General features: G+C 51.5%; 1 protein-coding gene across 6 annotated transcripts in view, besides 4 other annotated features; it reads left to right on the top strand.

Moving 5' to 3' along the window:
• The window catches only part of TESC (tescalcin), a 60494-nt gene that overhangs the window by 23227 nt on the left and 13598 nt on the right, over positions 1–23669 (top strand). For 4 of the 6 annotated variants that reach the window (NR_031766.3, XM_017019532.2, NM_017899.4 and 1 more), the window contains exons 2-3: positions 850–919; positions 19304–19384. Coding sequence is in view for 5 of the 6 variants with exons in the window: in XM_017019532.2 (XP_016875021.2) it covers positions 850–919; positions 19304–19384 (151 nt within the window). In the remaining variant the exon portion in view is untranslated. The remainder of the gene's footprint in view (positions 1–849; positions 920–19303; positions 19385–23669) is intronic. The other 2 variants (XM_047429044.1, NM_001168325.2) reach the window with 1 other exon arrangement.
• Positions 12224–13000: an enhancer, noted in NCBI's record as "H3K27ac-H3K4me1 hESC enhancer chr12:117500995-117501771 (GRCh37/hg19 assembly coordinates)". NCBI's record gives its function as "activates a minimal SCP1, AML or CMV promoter by ChIP-STARR-seq in primed H9 embryonic stem cells {active_cell/tissue: H9 hESC(primed)}" and the evidence as "EXISTENCE:reporter gene assay evidence [ECO:0000049][PMID:30033119]".
• Positions 13001–13777: an enhancer, noted in NCBI's record as "H3K27ac-H3K4me1 hESC enhancer chr12:117500218-117500994 (GRCh37/hg19 assembly coordinates)". NCBI's record gives its function as "activates a minimal SCP1, AML or CMV promoter by ChIP-STARR-seq in primed H9 embryonic stem cells {active_cell/tissue: H9 hESC(primed)}" and the evidence as "EXISTENCE:reporter gene assay evidence [ECO:0000049][PMID:30033119]".
• Positions 21295–21900: an enhancer, noted in NCBI's record as "H3K27ac-H3K4me1 hESC enhancer chr12:117492095-117492700 (GRCh37/hg19 assembly coordinates)". NCBI's record gives its function as "activates a minimal SCP1, AML or CMV promoter by ChIP-STARR-seq in primed H9 embryonic stem cells {active_cell/tissue: H9 hESC(primed)}" and the evidence as "EXISTENCE:reporter gene assay evidence [ECO:0000049][PMID:30033119]".
• Positions 22507–23112: an enhancer, noted in NCBI's record as "H3K27ac-H3K4me1 hESC enhancer chr12:117490883-117491488 (GRCh37/hg19 assembly coordinates)". NCBI's record gives its function as "activates a minimal SCP1, AML or CMV promoter by ChIP-STARR-seq in naive H9 embryonic stem cells {active_cell/tissue: H9 hESC(naive)}" and the evidence as "EXISTENCE:reporter gene assay evidence [ECO:0000049][PMID:30033119]".

Here is a 23669-nt window from a genome sequence, read left to right as displayed (position 1 = left end):
TTCTCGGCTAGGATAAAACTCATCTTCTGGAGTGGAAGAGGAAGAGTCAGACAACCAGATGCAGTTTTCTCTAGGCTGGGCGTGGTGGCTCATGCCTGCAGTCTCAGCACCTTGGGAGGCCGAGGCGGGCAGACTGCTTGAGTCCAGGAGTTTGAGACCAGCCTAGGCAACATGGTGAAACCCTGTATTTCTAAAAAAAAAAAATATATATATATATACATACATATATATATATATATGTATATATACATATATATATATATATACACACACACATATATATATATATATATATATATATATATATATATATACACACATATATATATATATATATATATACACACACACACGAAAATTAGCCGGGCATGGTGACACTTGCCTGTAGTTGCAGCTACCCAGGAGGCCAAGGTGGGAGGATCTCTGGAGCCCAGGAGGTGGAGGCTGCAGTGAGCTGAGATGCCGAGGTCGTGCCAGTGTACTCCAGCCTGAGTGATGGAAGTGAAACCCTGCCACAGAAAACAAAGTTTCTCTGTAGTGGGCTGGGTAAGGTCAGAGGCTGGGAGAATGGCCTGCTTCATGACTGCCCTGTCTCAGGAGCTATTAGTAATAGTTGTATTATTATTACTAAGGCAGTTGGAACTGATGACTGCAGAGCTGTTTCTGGGAAGAACGGGAAATCCTTTCTCTGCTGCTTCACCCGGCACTCGCTTTTGCCATGGTGGGAGATGCTTTGAGAAGGGGTGTGGCAGCCAGTGGGGATGGGGCAAAAGAATATCTGCAGCCTCCCTCTGACAGTCAGTGATTTTTTTTTCTGTCTTGTTTTTCTCTCTTTCCCCCACTTCTCAGTCTCATCGGATCAGATCGAGCAGCTCCATCGGAGATTTAAGCAGCTGAGTGGAGATCAGCCTACCATTCGGTAAGATTGGCAGCGGGTTTGGGTGCTGGGTGGGGCCATGCCCTTGCAAATTTCTTGTCCTGTTTCTTTTCTTGAGTGCTGAGTAGCGGGGGTAGTTGTTTTCTTTTTATTTTTTATTTATTTTGGAGATGGAGTCTCGCTCCGTCGCCCAGGCTGGAGTGCAGTGGTGCTGTCTCGGCTCACTGCAAGCTCTGCCTCCTGGGTTCACACCATTCTTCTGCCTCAGCCTCCCGAGTAGCTGGGACTACTGGTGCCCTCCACCATGCTCGGCTAATGTTTTGTATTTTTAGTAGAGACGGGGTTTCACCGTGTTAGCCAGGATGGTTTCGATCTCCTGACCTTGTGATCCACCCGTCTCAGCCTCCCAAAGTGCTGGGATTATAGGCGTGAGCCAACTGTAGTTGTTTTAATGCTTCTGGTCTCTTCTAAGACAAGATGTTCCCAAACAGTAAGAAAGAACCACTTCTGTTTCTATGAGGATCACACAATTATAAATTATAACTATCGTGGAAGCGAGGAAGGGCTCTTCAGCCACCCCATGCCTCACCCTGACTTCCTCGGATGGAATGTGCTTGGAATCTCAGACACATATGGAGGTCCTGTTAAATCCCAGGGTCCTTCCAACTGCCGGGCACACAAAGATGTATCAGTTGTGGTGCAGCCCGACTTAGGGGCTCAGGCTGCCATCAGGACCTCTGTCTTTTGACTCTCCTTCTTTAGGGTTAGTTCTGGCCTCAGGCAAGATGGGGGTGGCCGCCTCAAATTTCTGTTAAGGAAAATCAACCTTCTGCATTGTGTTTTGTTAATCTTTTAGATACCTTTAGGTTGCTTTTTAATGAAGAGGAATGCCTTAAACTGTATTCCGGTTGAATTATTTGTTATTTGGGTATTTTTAATTTTTTTGAGACACGGTCTCACTCCGTTGCCCAGGCTGGAGTGCAGTGTTGTGATCATAGCTCACTGCAGCCTCAACCTCTTGGGCCCAAGCGATCCTCCTGCCTCAGCCTCCCAAGCAGCTGGGACCACAGGCATGTGCCATCACACCCAGGTAATTTTTTATTTACTTTTATTTTCGTAGAAGCAGGGTCTTGCTATGTTGCTCGGGCTGGTCTTGAACTCCTGGGCTCAGGTGATCCTCCTGCCTTAGCTTCCCAAAGTGCTGGGACTACAGCCATGCACCACCACACCAGCTAATTTTTTAAAGTTTTTGTAGAGATGGGGGTCTCACTATGTTGCCCAGGCTGGTCTCAAACTCCTGGCCTCAAGCAGTCCCCTCATTTCTACCTCCCAAAGTGCTGGCACTACAGGTGTGTACCGCTGCACCAGACCTGTTAATTGTTTTGTATTTTTTTTTTTTGAGACGTGGTCTTGCTATGTTACCCAGGGTGATCTTGAACTCCTGAGCTCAAGCAGTCCCCCCGCCTCAGCCTCCTGAGTGGCTGGGATTACAAGCGAGTGCTGCTTGAGTTACTTACAGCTGGGTTAGTGAGAGGTCCTTGCCAGTGACTTGATCGTCACACAGAGTTCATGGGGAAGCTTCAAGTTGAACAAATTTCTACCATAAACTTCTAACAGATGTAGTTTCCTAAAATAAGCATTCAGAGTCTCAAGGTTACAGCTTGTTGGAACTTTGAAACAAACCTTCTAATACTCCAGGGAAACTTCCTTCTTGGTAAACAGACTTAAATTTCCCCTAGGTTTTATGGAAACTGACATATAAATGTCCACTTTCTCTTGTTTGTCTAAACACAGGCATATTGTTAATCCAGTATATTTCATTCTTAATTTCAAGAGCTCAGATTCTGACGGTCTCATGATTCTTGTGGCCTCTGGTCTCAGTTTGATTGCATCCAAGGCCGACTTAAAGACAATTAAGATTTATACCTTTAATTCTAGACATCTTGCCCACCAAGCCCAGTGGAGGAGAGAGAACCTGAGCCCAGCGGAAGAGTCACCTGGCTTCTCATTGGCTCTGATGGGGTCACGGGCCTGAGTCTGAGCCAATCGCCATGGCCAAAGACCAGACATGCAAATGTTTTCCCCTAGAGCTATAAGGGCATGGGGCCTGGGGTCAGTTTCCTCCAAGGACAGGGATGGAGGGCGGGTGGTTTCAACCAGGGCAAGGTGAAACCTCCTTGGTCCATAGGCTGAGGAGTGTGTAGCATGACACAAGTCAGCCAGGCACTGAGATCTAGCGGGGAGGTGGCATATATGGACACTGGATGCTGGAAAACAGTGTCAAGGGCGTGCTTTGCTTGTTCCTTCAGAAGTTAATGAGCAGCCTGGGCAACATAGCAAGACCCTTTCTCTACAAAATATTTAAAAATTAGCCAGGTCTGGTGATGCACACATGTAGCTCTGGCTACTTGGGAAGCTGAGGCAGGAGGATCACTTGAACCCAGGGGTTCAAGACTGCAGTGGGCTATGAGTGCACCACTGTACTCCAGGCTGGGCAACAGAGCAAGACCCTGTCTCTTAAAAAGTTCATGAGCATCTGCTCTGCGCCAGGTGCTTGGTACCTACGCTGGTAGCTGCAGCCGCTATGGAGCTCACAGTGGAGGATGTGGGAAGGCAGAGCCCCTTTGTCCTCAAGACAGTTTTCCAGCAAGTGGAGCCCCCAGCCCTGTAACAAACTGCCTTGGACTTATTGTTATGCATCTGATGTTAGATCCATCCAACTTTGGGTGGTGAACTTTAGGTTCATATTCTACATGCATAGAGATGCAGAGGCAAAAACCCAGGCTTCGGAGTCCAACTGTATTAGAATCCTTCATGCCATTGGCTTTGTGGCTTCGGGCTGGTTACTTCCTTTCTCTGAGCTGGTCTCCTCATCTGGAAAGTGAGCATGGTCACTTGGGATTTGATTTGAGCATTAAAAATGAGCAGTCGGCCGGGCACTGTGACTCACGACTATAATCTCAGCACTTTGGGAGGCCAAGGCTGGAGGATCGCTTGAGCCCAACCTGGGCAACACAGTGAGACCCCATCTCTAGGGGGAAAAAAAAGCAGGTGCAAGCAGGGCAGTTTAGCTCTAAGCTGGGTTCACAGGCATTTGGCAAATGGGGCTATTCTTCCACCCCATCCTGAGGGTCTAATCTGAGTGTGGTGGGGGCCCAGGTGCTGTGTGAGGAGGAGGATATGAGGCTGTTGGAGGCCCCTCCCACTTTTAGGTTCTAGGCGCTGAGCCCTGATGCATTGCCTAGCACCCCATCATAAGCTTACAATGGGACGTACTAAAATGGCATTCCCTACAACAGTTTTTTTCCAACTTGACTGTGCTCGAATCACCTGGGAATCTTGCTGCCATGCAGGTTTTGCTTCTGCAGTTCTAGGGTGGGGCCTGAGACTCTGCATTTCTAACAAGTGCCTCCGTTGCCCAGCACTGTGGACAGCACACAGTAGGTCCTCCATGGTTGAGTGGGTGGAGCGTCCTCCTCCTGCAGGAGCTGAGCTGGCGCGGCCTCTCTGTGCTGATGGCGCCGGACTCCTACCTCCCAGGCCTCACCTGCCCAGGCTCAGCTTAGAAATGTGAGCCGTTGGTCCTGCCCTGCCACCCCAAACCCTGTTTGCCCCTCTCCTGCACACCCATCCCCAGGACCTCATATGTAGCACCCTTGCACAAGCCCTCAGTGTGCCTGCCTGGCAGGGTCATTCAAAGGAGCTAGTGAGCAGCCTCTGCTCAACAGCCCTCTTGATGGCTACCCAGTGCCATCAACGTCATCTTTGTGTTCTTTATGTGGGACTCACACAGGTGTGTAGATGCTGGCTTCTGCTTTGCTGAGGCCTCAGTGTGGACCACATTTCCAAGACACGTCTCCTGCCCCGTGAAGGCCCACAGCCTCCTTCTGGGGGTGCCCCATCCCAACATTCACAGCACAGAATTATAACTGCCCCCACATCCCCTCACCCCAGCAGACTGTGGCTTCTTGGAGGGCAGGAACTGATTGCCTTTTTCCTTGGCCAAAGTGCTGAGTCCAGGGCCTGTAACACAGTAGGTGCTGTGAGAGTGCTCAAATGAACAAGTGAAGGGATGAGTGAATAAATGAATGAATGAAAGAACAAAGGAATGAGGAGTGAATGTAATGACTAGCAGAATTCTTTCCAGCGCAGGAAGCGTGGCCTACGTGAGGCCTGTTGTCCTTAATAGTACTTCCTTGTTAGGTTGATGTAATCCAGGTGAAAGAATTCAGCAGGGGTCTTGGCACGTAGAAACAGCTCACAAATGTAAGCTCTTATTATTTGAACGTGTTTTATGTGCTACACAGCAGGATTGTGTTACTTTAATCTTTTTTTTTATTTTTTGACAGAGTCTCGCTGTGTTGCTCAGGCTGATGTGCAGTGGTGCGATCTTGGCTCACTGCAGCCTTGACCTCCCAGGCTCAAGTGCTCCTCCTGCTTCAGCCTCCTGAGTAGCTGGGACTACAGGTGTGTGCCACCACACCTGGCTCATTTTTTGTATTTTTGTAGAGATGAGGTCTTACCATGTCGCCCAGGCTGACTTCAGTCCTACAGAACCCCATAGGAAGTAGAGGTAGGGACGCTCACTCTCCCCATTTTACAGATGGGAAAGTAAGGCTAGAGAGAGAGGCCATGTACCTGGCCCTGGGTCACACAGCTCATAAGTGGAGGAGCTGGGGTTTGAACCCAGCGCCAAGATCCTGCTGTAGGAAGCCAGGGGCATTGTCTTGATTTGCAAGTGATCTCTAAGGACCTCAGTCTTCCTGCCCTGCTACTGGGGGTGGGGGAGGTGCGTTTATAATTCCCGTCACCACTGCCTTGGTCTCAGAGCTTCAGAGTCGGCTTCGAGGTTCGTGTCAGCTGCACATAGTGACAGCCCCAGCCCAGCCTGCAGGAAGGAGGTGACTGACCACAGCTTCTTATGCAAACAGGCCTACAGGAAGGGCCTCCTTCCAGCCTCCCAGAACTGCTTTGCCTAATCCTAATCCACCCTCCAGGGCCTAGAGAAGGGAGATGAGGTAGCTTTTCAAGGTTCCCCTGGCCTTTTCCTGCCCATCTTCCCCTGAGCAGCCCTGGCTTGGGAACTGATCCCCAGTGCTGTCCCCTCTCTGCCAGGGGTTTTCTAAGTGACCCCAGGCCCGGTCTTCAACCTCTCAGATCCTGGCACATCTTGGAAGCTGTCCAACAGGCCCTGGGCTGTGCTGGGTTTTCAGAGCATGGACAAAATTCCTTTTCTTTCTGGGGACATTCCCCCACATGAAAATGGCGTTGATTGGGGTTCCCTAGTGAAGGCCCCTGGCACCCCACTACAATCTGCGATGGGGGAGAGGGTGCCACCTCCTTTGCCCCTTCCCGCTCAGACAGCGAAGGACCCACGTGCTTATGAGGATCCCACAGGAGGCTCGTGAAGACCTTGAATGCAAAAGTCCCCTTAAAAATGATCATTCAGAACCACAGGCTTTAGATACAGATGAATAAGATTTGTAAGTTGCACTTAGAAGTTTAAAGAAGAACTGGATTTCTAAATGTGCGGCTTGACAAATTGAATATAGCTTTACAAACTCTCATGAGGCAATTGATGGACCAAAATTGATTTTGTTTTTAAGCCACCGTTTCTTATCTGTGTTGGGCCTGGTCCCATCTCTTTCCAGAAGTCATCTGAGGACATCTAGGGGAGGGTTCGTCTTGCGGCATTGAAAGCCCCACTTCAAGGCCTTACTTTTGCGTGGGTTCTTTACACAGCCCGGTACCTGATTTTTAGACATTCATATTGTTGGCCGGGCGCAGTGGCTCACTCTGTAATCCCAGCACTTTGAGAGGCTGAGGCTGGCGGATCACTTGAGGTCAGGAGTTCCAGACCAGCCTGGCCAACATGGTGAAACCTCGTCTCTACTGAAAATACAAAAATCAGTTGGGCGTGGTGGTGTGTGCTTGTAATCCCAGCTACTCGGGAGGCTGAGCAGGAGAATCGCTTGAACATGGGAGGGAGAGGTCGCAATGAGCTGAGATCATGACACTGCACTGCAGCCTGGGTGACAGAGCGAGATTCTGTCTCAAAAAAAATTTCATTTTGTTATGTTCCCTTTTTAAAAGAGGGAACCCCCAAATCGTATATGCTTCAGGATCCTCAAGACCTGAATTCATCCAGACCACAAAGCACTGAATTTCTGTGGCCTCTCGGCAAAATGCCTGAATAGAAAAGAAAAAAAAAAAAGGAATTTCTATCTAATTCTAACACGTTCATTAGCCACCTACCATTCGGGGGGCTCTTCCCCTGTACACTCAGAAATTTTCCATCTAGCAGAGGCGACCTCCACAGGTAAACCTGTTAAAAGGTCAGAATTTTAAATAATGAAGAAAATACAGAAATAGCTTCTTGCACTTTTTCTTTCTCTTTTTGGGCCCCTTAACTGGTAAATGTTTTAAACAACAATTTTTAATTTCCTGATAGCACGCTGGCAGGCTTATAAATGCCAGAAATAGACGCTATGGAATACTTCAGATGTAGTGGTGCAGGCCATTAGGAGGCATGATTAGATAAAGCCACATTACAAAAAATATTTTTAGGTTCATCGAGCCATTGACTGTGGAGTAATTCCGGAGGTAAATGCAACCACAGACGTACACAGGGAAGAGAAAAAAAAGGGACTCCATGCTCCATGTCAAATGCCACCAACGTGCAGCCCCATGTTCTGATAGCCCAGACAGTGGGGCGTCAGCAAAATGTCCTAACTCCAGGTCCTGTTTTTCTTCCTTCAGCAGTGTTCCTTTTGTTTTTCTCTTTGAGACAGAGTCTCGCTCTGTCAGCCAGGCTGGAGTGCTGTGGCGCGATCTTGGCTCACTGCAACCTCCCCGTCCCAGGTTCAAGCAATTGTCCTTCCTCAGCCTCCCAGGTAGCTGGGATTATGGCACCCACCTCCACACCTGGCTAATTTTTGTATTTTTAGTAGAGGCAAGGTTTCACCATGTTGGCCAGGCTGGTCTTAAACTCCTGACCTCAGGTGATCCACCCGCCTCGGCCTCCCAAAGTGCTGGGATTACAGGTGTGAGCCACCACACCCAGGCCCTCAGCAGTGTTCTTACCACTGCTCTGTCATTTTTTGAAGTTACCACAAGATTGGCCCAGTGCAGTAGCTCACACGTGTAATCTGAGCACTTTGGGAGGCCGAGGTGGAAGGATTGCTTGAATCCAGGAGTTTGGGACGAGCCTGGGCAACACAGTGAGACTCTGTCTCTACAAAAAAAATTTAAAAATGAGCCGGGCATGGTGGCATGCACCTGTGGTCCTAGCTACTCAGGAGGCTGAGGTGGGAAGATTGTTTGAGCCTGGGAGGTTGAGGCTGCAGTAACTTGTCTTGCCACTGCACTCCAGCCTAGGTGATGAAGCAAGACTGTCTCAAAAAGAAAAAAAAGCACGGGGTTGTGAGCAGAAATGGGAGCCCAGCTGCCAGCAGCAGAGTGCTAACATGTGCCAGACGCTGGGCTCAACGCTCACATGGTCTCAGGAACCCTCTGAGGTTGACATTATTATCCCCATTTTACAGATTAAGCAACTGAGGCTGAAGAGGTTAAAATTACACAGTAGGTCCTCAGTTCAAAAGCAAAGCTGGCTAATGCAAGAGATGTAGCCTCAAACCACTGCAGTGATGTTGCTCTTCATCCAGAATTAAATCCCCTTTTAACCCAGTCACTTTGCTTTGTTTTTAACCTGTCTATGATATGACCACTTTTTGAGGGGATGGGAGCAAGATCTCGTTCTGTTGTCCAGACTGGGGTGCAGTGGTGCAGTCATGGTTTACTGCAGCCTCCGACTCCCGGGCTCAAGCGATCATCCTGCCTCAGCCTCCTGAGCTGTAGCTGGGGCCACAGATGTGTATCACCACATCCAGCTAATTAAAAAAAAATTTTTTTGTAGAGATGCGAGTCTTGCTAGGTTGCCCAGGCTGGTCTCGGACTCCTGGCTCAAGCAATACTCCTGCCTCAGTCTTCCAAAGTGCTAGGATTACAGGCATGAGACACCATGCCTGGCCTCGACAGCTTTTTTTAGAAATACTATACTCATAAGGAAGTTGCTGAGGCCCTACCTAGCTCAGCAGGCTGTTTCACCATCAGAATTTAATATATTCCAAGAGGCAGCGAGTCCTCCCTTTAAAAGCCTCAGCTAGGATGATGCACGTTCACTTAAAGAGGAAAACCTGCTACGGTAGCTGTAAAGATGCCCAGAAAAGACAGCGGGCGTGAGGCAGCTGGACTCGCACATCTGCTTAGGTGAGAGTGTTAAGGCAGACGTGAGGAGAGCCACCAAGGGGGTAGTTTGGTGTGAAAAGGTGCGGAGGCGTTCCCGAGGCAAAAAGCAGCTTTCTAAACAGTCTTAGTTTTATTAGCAGGTACTCGCATATAAAACTTTTATAGAGATTCTTTTCCCAGGATGGTTGATACTGACATGGTCCTTGCTTACAAGCCTGCAAATGTCCAGGGCCTTCCGTGATGGGTTTTAGAGCTGAGGATCCTACAGGGTTGAGAAGGGGAGGCTCCCCTTCCCCTGCTGGGGCACTTCTGTTCTGATGCTTATGTGTGTGAGGGGTAGTCAGAGAGAAAGCTAGCACATCAGCCAGTTCATGCTATAACATGAGCAATATACTAAGGTTGGCTGGGCATGGTGGCTCATGCCTGAAATCCCAGCACTTTGGGAGGCTGAGGCGGGCGGATCACGAGGTCAGGAGATCGAGACCATCCTGGCTAACACAGTGAATTTCTACTAAAAATACAAAAAACTAGCCAGGCGTGGTGGTGGGTGCCTGTGGTTCCAGTTACTCGGGAGGCTGAGGCAGGAGAATGGCGTGAACCCGGGAGGCGGAGCTTGCAGTGAGCCAAGATAGCGCCACTGCACTCCAGCCTGGGCAACACAGTGAGACTCCGTCTCAAAAAAAAAAAAAAAATTAGCCATTCATGGTGGCGGGTGCCTGTAGTCCCAGCTACTCAGAAGGCTGAGGCAAGAACATCTGTTGAACCCAGGAGGTGAAGGCTGCAGTGAGCCAAAATCGCACCACTGTACTCCAGCCTGGGCGATAGAGTGAAGCCCTGCCCCAAAAAAAAAAAAAAAAAAAAAAAAGCTAAAGGAAGGAAACAGGGCAGACAGCCATCCCCTGGAACCCTAGGGAGGAGAGGGTCCTTGGGGTAGGTGGTCATGGAAGGTGCCACTGAGGAGGCCACATCTGGGCTGAGACCAGGAGAGAAGGAGCCGGTGTGTGAAGAGAAGAGGGAGGGGAGCTCTAGGCAGAAGGCCCAGCACATGAGGAGAATTGGAGAGTTGGGTGCAGATCACAGAGGGTTTGCCTTTGCCCTAGTGATGACTTGGGTTTCCTTTTGTCCTTGAAATAAAATGCACAGATGTGGCCTGAAACACCAGCTGTATGTTAGCTCCTACTTTTTTGTTGTTGTTTTGCTCTGTTGCCCAAGCTGAAGTGTGGTGGTTCGATCTCAGCTCACTGCAGCCTCAACCACCCAGGCTCAAGCGATCCTCCTGCCTCAGCCTCCCAGAACTTACAGGCATGTACCACCATACCCGGCTAATTTTTGTATTTTTTGTAGAGATGGGGTCTTGCCATGTTGCCAAGGCTGGTCTTGAACTCCTGGGCTCAAGGAGTCCTCTCACCTCAGCCTCCCAAAGTGCTGAAATTATAGGTGTGAGCCACTGTGCCCGGCCAGCTCCTACATCTGTATGTCCTCCCAGGACCTCTCCCCTGAGCTCCTGACTCATGTAGCAACTGCCCATCCACTTAATATCCAATAAGACATGCCGCTTAACATGCCCCTTTCAAAGCAAGCACCTCCTCATCCCTCCCAGAGGTCCCCCGTTCCTCTGTGGTGAACGGCAGCCTCACAGTTCCCTGCAGTGGTCACCTTTGATTCCTCCCTTTGTCTCAGCCCTGCTTCCAGTTCATCAGCAAACACTGCCATTTCTACCTCCCAAGGAGCCCAGGATTTGCTACTTCTCTCCCCTTCTTCCTCTGCTCCCCCAGCCCCTGCCCTCATCCAGCTGCCATGGTCTCTGGCCTGGGCTACCCCAACAGCCTCCTCCCTGGTTCCCCTGTGTCTGTCTTCACTGTCCATCCACCATCCAGGCTCACGGTACCATGTGGGAGGGTCCTATGAGACTGTCTCTTCTCTGCTGAAGATGTTCTGTCTCACCCATTGGGAGTCAGAGCCTCCGCTGAGGCCTCTCAGTGTCCTTCTGGCCCCTGCACGGTTGGGCCCCTGCCACACCCATCTCCAATTATTTTTGCCCAAGTTACATGAACATTCTTTGTTCCCCACCCCAGGGCTCTAGCTCATGCTGTTCCTTCTTCTTAGAATGCTTTTCCCCTAGAGCAGGGTTTTTGAGCCTGGGCTCTGGGGCTGGATGATTCTTCACTGGGGGTTGTCCTGGGCACTGTGGGGTGCTGAGCAGCATCCCTGGCCTCCACCCACTAGATGCTGGTAGCACCCTCCCCACCAGCTGGACACATGGGAGTGGAGAACCTCCCCTCCTTCAGGTCTCTGCTCAAATGTCACTTTTTTCCCTGTGGCCTTTCTGTGGTCAACCTCATTTAAACTTGTACCGGTCTCCTGTGGTCCCCTCCCTTTCTCTGCTGAATTTCTCTGCAAAGTACTCATCACTCCCTGAGATACTCTATTTCCCATCTTTTTTGTGCTCTCCTAGATTCCCCGTAAGGGATCGTGTCTGTCTTTACCTCTGCAGCTGGCACCTAGAACAGTGCCTGGCTCCTTGAAGGGGCTCGAATGCTTGTCGCTGAGTTGCTTTCACTGTAAGAAGTCAATTCCAGGTGTTGGGGAAAGTGGGGGACTGACATGGGGCAGGGACAGGGATGAGAAGGTGTTTGCCTGGGGGAGTGGTCTTGGCGACGTTGTCCAGCTTTTCAAAGAGGCATTTGCCAGGAGCAAAAAGGACCAGGCCTTTCTTGCCAGAATCTTCTGTGCAAAAATGTGGATAGGAGAATTGCCTAGCACATTTGCACAATTCCAGGTGCTTTGAAACATTGAGAGATTAAGAGGCCAGCAGTTCTCACGCATTCATGTGTACGTGAATGCCCTGGGGACTGCGTTAAAATGCAGGTTCTGTAATGCCAGCACTTTGGGAGGCCAAGGCGGGAGGATCACTTGAGCCCAGGCGTTCAGGACTAGCTTGGGAAATATAGTGAGACCCTGTCTTTACCAAAAATAAATTGGGTGTGGTGGTACACACCTGTAGTCCCAGCTGCTCAGGAGGCTGAGGAGGGAGGATCACTTGAGCCCAGGAGTTCAAGGCTGCAGTGAGCCATGAATGCACTACTGTATTAATGCAGGTTTTGATTCAGTAGGTCTGGAGTAGGGAGAGATGGTGCATCTCTAATAAGCTCCAGGTGATGCAGATGCTGCTGGCCCAGAAACCACACTTTGAGTATCTTGGCTACTGGGAAGACATGTGCTGAGTGACATGCAGTCTCTGCCTTGAAGAGTCTCCATGGGGCCTCAGCTTCCCCACTGTGGGGGACACCACATGCTGAACAGTGAGTGCAGGAAGGGGAATCAGAGGGGCACTGGGCAGGCAGTGCAGGAAGGGGAACTCAGAGGGACATTGGGCAGGCAGCCCGGCAAAGTGGCCTCCCTCAGTGCAGGGAGCCCTGGAGCGGTGGAAGTTCCGGCCTGAGAATCTGGGGCCTGGCTGCACCCTCACCTTGGAGGTCGGTTAGCCTTGTGGTGGTTGGTGGGGGTTGGGGAGCTCCATGCTCAGTACCCCTAGAGAGAACTTTGCAACTGAGCTGGGCTCCGAAAGCCACCGGAAACCAACCCACACCACGAGGCTTGAGGAAGAGCCCAGCACAGTCCTCGGTGGTTTTTTGAGCCTGGTCCTTCCCTTCTTGTTGGCCTGACGCTTGTCCTGCCCTCTTCCTGGGTCCCAGATGGGGCCTCTTGGGCTGAGGGCTGGGGGCTGGGTGAGAGCAGATGCCTCGCTCTTTCTCTCTTTAACGTAAAAATGCGCAACTGGAAGGAAGGAAGTGGTGAGAGTGAGGAAGCGCAAGATGGTTCGAGCCAGCCTGGAGGCAGAGCTGGAGTCCCGCGCCAACTCTAGCTGTGTGACTGGGGCTTAGTCTCTTTGCCTCTCTGGGCCTTGTGTTCTGGTCTGTAAAATAGGATCATCATTGTTGCCACTCATGATTATGTGGGGGTGATTAAGTGTTGCAGTGCTTAGCACAGCTTGATGTCACGCGAGCCCTTCATGACTCCAGGGGGACATTCTGAAGCCCCGAGGGCTCAAGCTCTCCCGCAGGAGGCCTGGAAGGTGTGTGGCCCTGGAGCCCTCCTGGGCAATCCCCGCTACCCCTGATGGTCACTGGGGCAACACCACTGGCCATGAGAATCAGCTCTGGCTGAGGGCAGTGACCTGCCGTCAGCCCTGGGCTCTGAGGTGAGGCAGAGCCTGTTCCCATGGCTGCAGCCTGGGCTGCGACACCTTTAGAAAAGCCGGTTCATCCAGCCCGGCGGGGACCTAGGGAGGAAGGAAAACAAAACTGACACGAGTATTGATGGAGCATGAAACTGATGAAATGAAAAGGTTAGCCTGTCCTAAGCGCTGGACTCAAGGCCGGTGCTCTCCTTGTTGAAAAGGGACATTGGCAGGTTTTAGGGAAAGTCCCTGAAGGCCAGGCACCAACCACCATGCCACTGCCTGGGTCCGCCAGTATCATTCTTAACAATGAGAAGTGGCTTCATCTCTCTGCCTCAGTTTCCTCATCTTTAAAATGGGCACAGGCCGGGTGCAGTGGCTCACACCTGTAATCCCAGCACTTTGGGAGGCTGAGGAGGGCAGATCACCTGAGGTCACGAGTTCGAGACCAGCCTGGCCAACATGGTGAAACCCCATCTCTACTAAAAATACAAAAATTAGCTGGGCATGGTGGCAGGTACCTGTAATCCCAGCTACTCGGGTGGCTGAGGTACAAGAATCACTTGAACCCAGGAGGTGGAGGTTGCAGTGAGCAGAGATCACGCCACTGTGCTCCAGCCTGGGCGGCAGAGTGAGACTCCGTCTCAAAAAAAAAAAATTAAGAAAATAAAATGGGCATAAGTACCTACTTTATAGGGTTGTTGTGAACCCTATGTAATAATGTAAAGCTCTTAGAATAGTTCCTTCCATTTTGAGGGTACGTAGGTTAGCTGCTGTTACATTATTATTATTACTACTATTAATACTGCTGCAGCGATTACTGTTACTGCTGCTGCCGTTATTACTGTTATTATTTTAAAATTAAGAGCTCATCCTGTGTCAGGCAGCCTACTCAGCATCTTATGTGGATTTATCTCATTTGATCATCTCATTAGCCCCATCATGTTACCTGGATATTCCTATGATCCCCATTTTACATATGAGAAATCACGGCTTGAAGACATGCTGTGATTACTCAAGACCATGTGCCTGGTAAGGGGCAGAGCCTGGGCCAGCACCCCTCTCCCCACCTTGTGTTTGACCCTGAACCATCCCCTTTGATATGGGAAGGATTAGGTCTGCACCCATCTCACAGATGAGGAAACTGAGGCTCCAAGAGTCAGGCACCAGTGGTGAGGGGGAGGTGAGAGTCAGGTGTGGATGTAGCAGGTGCCTATGGAGAGAGAGAGAGAGAGCAGAGGCAGCGGGCTTCAGAGCCATTTACACACCCACTGGGGGTTGTGAAGCCAGCACCTGGGGACACTGTGTCCCCAGCTCAATTCCTAGCAGGTCAAGCATGTCTTGTTGCTGCTGGTTGGGGACAGGCCTCTTGTGTTGAGTTAATTTCTTCTCCAGGCACATGGGTCAGGCTCTTCTAGGTGGTTTCTCCCCCACCTCTCCTCCCTCTCTCCTGGGACATTGGGGTCTGCTCTCCTTCCAGGGTCTGGACACCTGGGCCCTGGGGAAGGCACCTGGGGAAGGGCAGTGCCTCAGGATGGGCCAGACAAAGAGGGAAGCCCTGCGTGCAGCCATCTTCATTATTCGCTTCATTATTCGCTCAGCAAACCATTTATTGACCACCTTGCCAAGCCCAGCAGTGCAAGGCACTGAGGACGGGGTGCTGTGGACATCACAGGGTCCCCATCCTGCAAGGTGCCATCTGTGGTGCACTCCCAGTTCACCAGACACCGTGCTGAGCATGTTGCAGACTTTATCTCCTCTAAACTGTACGGCAACCCTGTGAGGTTCCTGTTTGCAAAGGAGTAGACAGAGGCTGGGTGAGGCAACGCCGTTTGACCCAGGTAGCAGAGTAGGGTAGAGCCCAAGTGTGATTCCAGAGGCTGTGCCCTTCACCCTCTGTCAGTATCAGTGTGCCCTCCTCACAGACGAGAAAACAGACTCAGGAAGGATTAGCAACAGCCAGTGAAAGCCAGAGAGGGTTTGGCTAGCAGCATAGCAGCCAGCGGCTTCTCTGTTCTCCCAGATTCCCTCTGGAGCTCCACGTGGTCCCTTTCTCAGGGATCTGGGCCTTGGAAAATGGATTCTATTCGGATGGCCAGGGAGAGTCGGGCAGCAGGGTATCTGGTAAGAGCATGGCTGTACGCTACCTGGCTTCCAAGCTGACTCTTCCATGCCCCCACTGGGTGAGCTGGGGCAGGTTGCCGAACCTGTCTGTGCTGAGCCTGAAGCGTCGTGGATAATAGGAGCCCTTGTGGGGTCTCTGGGAAGCGAGGTGGCTCCGGCCAAGTTGCTTGCACGGTTGTGAGCTGTAGCTGTCATTGTCATCCGATCGTGATTTCGTAGATCATCTCCCTGGTAACCCTGACTCATTCAGGGCTCTGGTCTCTCTATTCTGTCCCCTCCTGTGGTCGCCTCCCACTAATGAGGAAAAAGGGCAAGGCATCGAGCTGTCTCCGAGCAGTGAGGGTGTGACCTGCATACAGAAAAGCATGTGTCACACACAGAGGGACTTTGACAGACGGAACATGCAACAGAATGTTCCCGGCTCCCAAAAGGCCCCCATATTCCCTCTCAATCACCCCCAACTCTGGGGCGGTTCACCACCCTGACTGCAGAGGTTCGTGTTGTCACTTTCTGTTCTTTACATAAATGGAGTCATAGTGCAGTAGCACAGCAGTTCTTTTTTGTTTTTTTAAAGACTTATTAGAAAATTTTAACAGCTTTATGGAGCTGTAATGCACATATTATAAAATTCGCCCATTGAAAATGTACAGTCCACTTTAGAGCACCTCAGAAAGAAGCTCTGCACCCGTTAGCCATCACCCCGTCCCCAGCCCCTGGAAACCACATCTCTCCACTTTGTCTCCCTGCATTTGTCTTTTCTGGATGTTTCCTATAAATGGCATCGTACACCATTTGTGTCTGGCTTCTTCCACTGAGCATCATGTCTTCCAGGTATATCCGTGCTGTGGCATGGATGAGAATCTCGTTCCTGGACAGGTGCAATGGCTCACACCTGTAATCCCAGCACTTTGGGAGGCTGAGGTGGGTGGATTACCTGAGGTCAGGAGTTTGAGACCAGCCTGGCCAACTGGTGAAACCGCACCTCTACTAAAAATACAGAAGTTAGCTGGGCGTGGTAGCACATGTCTGTAATCCCAGCTACTCGGGAGGCTGAGGCAGGAGAATCACTTGAACCCGGGAGGCGGAGATTGCAGCCGAGATCCACTATGGAGCAGGCCCATGGAGATTGAGCCGAGATTGTGCCACCGCGCTCCAGCCTGGGCAACAGAGTGAAACTCTGTCTCAAAAAAACAAAACAAAAAACCTTGTTCCTTTTTATGGCCAAAAAATAATCTTATTTTTTTTTCCATGGCCAAATAACATCCCATCTCTCTGGGCCAGCTGTCCCGAGTCTACCTCCTTCTTTTGAACTGGGTTTCTGGGAATCTAAAACATGAGTCTGCCCTGACACAGCTACTGAGTTTGGCCAGAGGCCATGAGTGAGCCCAGCTGAAAGGCCTGGGTGGGAGGGACAGGAGGCCATGCCGGGGACACAGAGGGACCCGGGAATCGGCCAGGTCCTGCTGTGCCTCTCCATGCCTCCATCCCCACCCCTCCAATGCGTAAGGCAGGGCAGCACAGGGGCCACAAGGCGTTCACAGAATCTTCCAACCCAAACGGCGTAGAGTCCCTTGCATCTGTTTTGCCTCCTCCTCTCCAGCATCTGTCTGTCCTAGTGTTGAATCCCACTCCCAATGACTGTCCCGTCATCACTTCCCACCCGGACGTCCTCATTTTCAGTGGGCTGATACCCTCTGCCTTCCCTACCTGGGCCTGACACCTTTTTCCCTAGGATCACCAGCCTGTGTGCTGGGTCCTTCCCAAGACACTGCCCGTGGAGGCCCATGGAGCAGAAGGAAAAGGTGAGCAGGAAGCAGATTGAGAGAACCCAGGATGGCCTTCTGTGAAAGGCAGGGGAGGAGGGCAGGCAGGTGAGGGAGTGGCTGACGCCCCTGCCTGCAAACCTGCAGCCTCTAGGACTCAGCATTACCTGTGCCAGCTACAGGGTGTCCTCCTGTGAAATTCACCCTCCCCTCTCCCCAGCCAAGCTTTTTTTGCCTTTTTTTTTTTTTTTTTAAGAGATTGGAGTCTCACTGTATCACCCAGGCTGCAGTGTAGTGGCACCATCATAGCTCACTGTAACCTTGAACTCCTGGGCTTAAACAATCCTCTTGCCTCAGCCTCCTGCATTGGTTGCTAGCTGGGACTACAGGCGCATGCCATCACACCTGGCTGGCTTTTTTTTTTTTTTTTTTTAACAGCTTTACTGAAATGTAATTTACATAATACAACTTAGCCATTAAAATGTGCAATTCAGTGACATTTGTTGTATGTACAGAGTTCTGCATCCAGCACTGCAGTCAATATTAGAACATATTCATCACTCCCAAAAGAAAGCTGTACCCTCAGCTGGCACACCACATTCCCCTCTCCCCAACCCCCTGACAACCACCAATCTGCTTTCTACCGCGGTGTATTTACCTATTCCAGATAATTCATGTAAATGGAATTATGTAATATGTGGTCATTTGTAATTGGCTTCTTTCACTTAGCATAATGGGTTTTTTTTGTTTGTATTTTGAGACGGAGTCTCAAAACTCAAAAGTTTTTTGAGACTACAGTCTACCAGGCTGTAGTGCAATGGTGAGATCTTGGCTCACTGCAACCTCCACCTCCCGGATTCAAGCAACTCTTGTGTCTGAGGTTCCCAAGTAGCTGGGATTACAGATGTGCGCCACCACACCCGGGTAATTTTTGTATTTTTAGTAGAGATGGGGTTTCACCATGTTGGCCAGGCTGGTCTTGAACTCCTGACCTCAAGTGATCCGCCTGCCTCGGCCTCCCACAGTGCTGGGATTACAGGTGTGAGCTACGGCGCCCGGGCTCACTTAGCATCATGTTTTTTAGATTCATTTGTGTTGTAGCATCTATCAGTACTTGGTTCCTTTTTATGGCTAAAAAATACTCCATTGTGGTTGCAGTGAGCCAGGATTGCACCACTGCACTCCAGCCTGGGCGGCAGAGCGAGACTCCATCTCAAAAAACAAACAAACAAAAAAACTCCATTGCATGGGCCACATTTTATTTCTCCAATTATGAGTTGACAGATGTTTGGGTTGTTTCTGCTTTACGGGTGAGCAATGCTGCTGTGAAATTCACACACAGGTTTTTATTTCTCTTGGGCATATCCCTAGGAGTGGAGTTGCTGGGTTGTCAATACTCCATGTTTAACCTTTGAGGACCTGCCAGACTGTTTTCCAGAGCTCCAAGCCAGCACCCCACTGCTCTAAATACTGACCTAGGGATTTGAGGATGGGCTTCAGGCAGTCTCTGAATCCCCAGAATGGACACAAATCCCACGTCTCTGCATTTGTTTGGGGATGAATGTACAGTCCACCTCTTTGATTCTCAAAAATATCTCAAGGCCGGGCCAGTGGCTCACACCTGTAACTCCAGCACTTTGGGAGGCTGAGGCAGGAGGATCACTTGAGCCCAGGAGTTCAAGACCAGCCAGGGCAACATGTCAACACCTTGTCTCTACAAAAAATTTAAAAAATTAGCTAAGCATGGCGGCGTGCATCTGTCATCCCAGCTACTTGGGAGGCTGAGGCAAGGCATTGCTTGAGCCCAGTAGGTCAAGGCTGCAGCGAGCTATGATCGCACCACTGCACTCCAGCCTGGGTGACAGTGAGACTCTATCTCAAAAAAGAAAAGTATCTTGAGCCTCCAAATCCTCCCTGCCCTTGCCCAGTCTAAAGGTTAGAGGAAGGGGCAGATAAGTGAAGCGTATTCCAGTTCTGTCTCCTAACTCTGAACTATTCTTGTGGGGGCCTGTTAGGGATCCAAAATACAGCTTGATACAGGATGAAAATGCCAGCTGACGTCTGCTATCTTTCCTTATTCTCTTCCCGGTATCTCTCCTTCTTGGAAACCAGCAAGGAGAACTTCAACAATGTCCCGGACCTGGAGCTCAACCCCATCCGATCCAAAATTGTTCGTGCCTTCTTCGACAACAGGTGGGCGTTTTCCCCTGAACCAGCCCAGTGGCAGGCACCCTTGTCTTGTGTAACATCTCGGGATACTTGTTTCCTAGAATGACCCTTTGAGCTGATGCCCAGAAGAGGGGGCCAAGCTGGGTAGGGGTTATGAGCATAGGTTTGGGGTTGGACCATTCTGGATTCATAGCTGGGCGACTGGGCTGCTCACTCAAGCTCTCTAGGCCTCTGTGTTCATTGTCTCTGGCTATGTAACAAATTACCCCAAAACTTAGTAGTTTAACACAATAGCCAAGCATGGTGGTGCACACCTATAGTCTCAGCTGCTGGGGAGGCTGCGGTGGGAGGATACTTGAGGCCAGAAGTTCGAGGCTGCAGTGAGCCATGATCACACCGCTTGCACTCCAGCCTGGGCAACAGAGTGAGACCCTGTTTCTAAAAAATAAGACTTTTTAAAAAAGAAAATTTAAGGCTGGGCACAGTGGCTCACGCCTGTAATCCCAGCACTTTGGGAGGCCAAGGTGGGTGGATCACCTGAGGTCAGGAGTTCAAGACCAGCCTGGCCAACATGGTGAAACCCTGTTTCTACTAAAAATAAAAGAATTAGCAGGGCACAGTGGGTCATACCTGTAATCCCAGCACTTTTGGGAGGCTGAAATGGGCAGATCACTTGAGGTCAGGAGTTCAAGACCAGCCTGGCCAACCTGGTGAAACCCTGTCTCTGCTAAAAATACAAAAATTAGCTGGGTGTGGTGGTACACATCTGTAATCCCAGCTACTCAGAAGGCTGAGGCAGGAGAATCTCTTGAACCCGGGAGGCGGACGTTGCAGTGAGCCGAGATTATGCCACCGCACTCCAGCCTGGGCGAGAGTCAGTAAGACTCCATCTCAGAAGAAAAAAAAAAAAAAAAAAAGGAAAAGGAAAACTAGAAAGCATTTATTATCTCACCATTTCTTTGGGTCAGGAAAGGAACCTGGGTGCAAATTAGCTGGGGGTCTCAAAGCCTCATGAGCTTCAGCCAAGGCATTAGCTGGGGCTGAGGTCTTGCCTCATGGCTCAACCAGGTAGGCTCTGTTTCCGGATTCAGCCTTGTGGCTGGTGGCATCTCCTGGGCCCCTCCAGAGAGCTGCCCACAGCATGGCGGCTTGCTTCCTCCAGAGGCAGCCCTGAATGAACCGATGGGACATATCCCACTATCTTTTTGTAACTGAATCTCGGAAGTGACACCCTATTCCTCCTGCTGTGTCTCTTCGTTAGAAGTGAGTCACTAGGTCACCCCCTTCTTGAGGGGACAGCACAGGGATGTGACTACCAGGAGGCAGGGATTTTGGGGGCCATCTGGGAGGATGCCTCAGTTTCACCATCTCTAAAATGGAGATAATCGGTCAGGTGCGGCGGCTCACAACTGTAATCCCAGCACTTTGGGAGGCCGAGGCCGGCAGATCACTTGAGGTCAGGAGCTTGAGACCAGCCAGGTCAACATGGTGAAACCCCCATCTCTACTAAAAATACAAAAGTTAGCCAGATGTGGTGGCGTACACCTGTAATCCCAACTACTCGGGAGGCTGAGGCAGGATAATCCCTTGAACTCGGGAGGTGGAGGTTGCAGTAAGTCGAGATTGCACCACTGTACTCCAGTCTGGGCAACGGAATGAGATTCTGTCTCAAAATAAAATAAAGTGGAGATAATCATAGCACTTGCCTAGCAGGGTTGCTGTGAGGGGCACTGAGGGGATGTGTGGTGAAGCTTACAAAGAGGTGTGCACTTTGGCCAGTGTCCCAGAGCTGAGGCACAGGCCAGAGCTCGAGCCTCAGTGTCCAGTATTGTTTAAGGTGAAAGACCTGGGTGACCGGGATGGAGCCTGGAGGTGTCTGGGACTCTAGGGGGGATGAAGGGGTGGGTATACCCTCCCCATGCTGCTGGGGCCTGTGGCAGACACAGTGAGGCCCGCCAGCCTGTTTGCCCCACGGTCCCCATGTCTGCAAAGATGGCTGGGAAACGGAGGATGGCCAGAAAGAGGAAGGATGGGAACAGGCGTGGTGTGGTGATGAGACCGTGGGGGCTTCCCTGATGGGTCTTGAGCTGTGCAGGGATGAACCACTCACCCTGGTTCTGCCAGGGATGTGGGACCCTGGACAAGGTGCTGAGCCTCCCAGGGTCCCACTGGAAACTGGGGTGCTGCTCACGGGGAGAGGGGTCCTTCAGCTGCCCCTGGAGTTGCAGGGGCCTTCCTCTGTGGCCCATGGGGCAAGGCCTGGCGAGAGAGTGACCAAGAGTTAAACCAGAAAAGCAGGGAGAGAAGGTTCCAGGCGATGGGAACTGTGTGTGCAAAGGCCCTGTGGCACAGGGAGCTTGGGGAGCTGAGAGGCAGACCCAGCTGGACCAGAGAGAGGCCAGTGTGGTGTGGGGAGGGCAGGCTGCATCGGACAGCATCTGTGGACCAGCAGCAGCAGGGGTCTTCAGGAGCCAAGATGGGGGACGCTGACGGACTTTAAGGTGAGGGTGTGAGGGGGTGGGTGAGCCAGGTTTGCACTTTGCAGAGGGTGCTGTGACTGCTGGTTGGTTGTAGGGGTGGGAATGGGAGGTGGAGGCCAGGGAGGAGTGAATCATGGTCCCGGGCTTGGGTCAGGGGTGCCCCGAGGATCTGGGGAGCAGGGGGCAGCTCTGAGCCACCTGGGAGGTTATAGATGAGGAAGGGTTGGATCCGGGAGTTGGGGTGAGAGACCTGGTACCGCAGGAATCTTCACAGCCAGTTGTCATGTGTGCCAAAGAGGAGGGGCCTGTGGAGCTTAAGTGACTGTGAAGTGTGTGAAGTTGCACAGTCAGTGGCAAAGACAGAGTGGAATCCGGTGCCCTCACCTCCTTTTAAATCCTGGTTCTCAGAGAAAGGACTCAGGTGGGCAGTGCGTCTTAGGCCAGTCCCCAGATGAGCCAGAGCAGGCATCAGGGTGGGAGGCGTGCGGCCCCTGACAGGGCACCTAGAGTTGGAGGCACTGACAGGAAGATGGTACAGGGGACCAGAGCCCAGGGGGTGCCTGTGGGTGCGTGCGTGTGTGTATGTGTATGTGTGTGTGCGCGTGCGCGCGCACGCGAGAGAGGGAGCATGTGTGCACGTTTAGGGGGTGTGTGTAGGCACGAGGCTTGTTTCCAGAAGGCTTGGGTGCAACTTTGGCCAGTTGTAAAGTTGGAAGAGGGAACTTCTAGGGTGGATGAGATGAGAGGTGGATTTCACAAGGGCATATGTTCGTCCAAACACAAGATCTGTGCATTTTAGTGTATGCTCTTATTCCTTAAAAAAAAACTTGACCCAAGGTCACTTGGCTGTCAGTTGTCACTTGTAGGAACTGGGATTCCAACTCGGGTCTGTCTGCCTCACGATCCTGGACAGACCCAGGAGTTGTGTTTTCGGCTCTTGGGGTGGAATGCACACACCTGCCAGGCTGTTTTCCATGAACAGCCGAGCTCCAGGAGACAGGGTGTGGGGAAAGGGCTGGGGCAGATGCCTCTCTGTTTTCAGAAGACAAGAGGGTGCACTGGGTATGCCGCTGCCAGACTTAGGGACAGGCAGACGGAGGCAGTAGCCTCCTCCTCCTTTGGAGGGTCTGATTTAGGCCAGAGCTGTGGGAGGACTGGCACAGGCGTGGTGCTCCCTGAAGGAGGGGGCAGGGACCTCAGTCATTGGGGAATGTCGGGTGTCCAGAAGTTGGACGTTGAAACAAGTGACCACATCTCAGGGGGACTCCAGGCGCGACGGGCCTGTGGGGACCCTGAGGAGGGAGCTAGGCAGGAAGGGGCGGTGAGGTCTGGGCTGGTGTGGGTGGCTGAGACCACCCTGCAGGCCTGGGAGACCAGGTGGGATTGGGGATTACCAGGAGAACTGGGGAGGCCCCAGGAGGGTGCTGAGCAGGGGAACAACAGGCTCTGATTTGCATTTTGCAAAGCTCATTCCGGCTGCACTTGGAGTGCGTGAGAAGGTGGGGGCTGGGCCAGGCAGCTGCAGAGGCCAGGAGAGAAAAGGAAGGTTCCCAGGGCACTGACTAGAGGTGTGAGCCTGGGGGTGGGTTGGGTGTGGGGGGGCATCCAGGAGACTCCGGGTCTGGAGCTGAGGGCAGCTGTCATTGTCCCTGCCTGACAGAGCTGTCGTTGAAAGATGGTCAGGGATCTCCTGGGCTGAGCTAGAAGTGGAGGGCGGTGGCCAGGTATGGGGTGGTGAGAGCCTCCCCTATAGGTCCCTGGACCTCGGCCTCTGGCTGCTTCTTAGAGAAACCTGGTGTGGAGAAAGGAAGGTGCCAGTGACTAAGGCT

This window comes from Homo sapiens, chromosome 12 (genome assembly GCF_000001405.40).
Source record: "Homo sapiens chromosome 12, GRCh38.p14 Primary Assembly".
Taxonomy (NCBI): Eukaryota; Metazoa; Chordata; class Mammalia; order Primates; family Hominidae; genus Homo; species Homo sapiens.
This window is presented reverse-complemented; position numbering and strand designations above follow the sequence as displayed.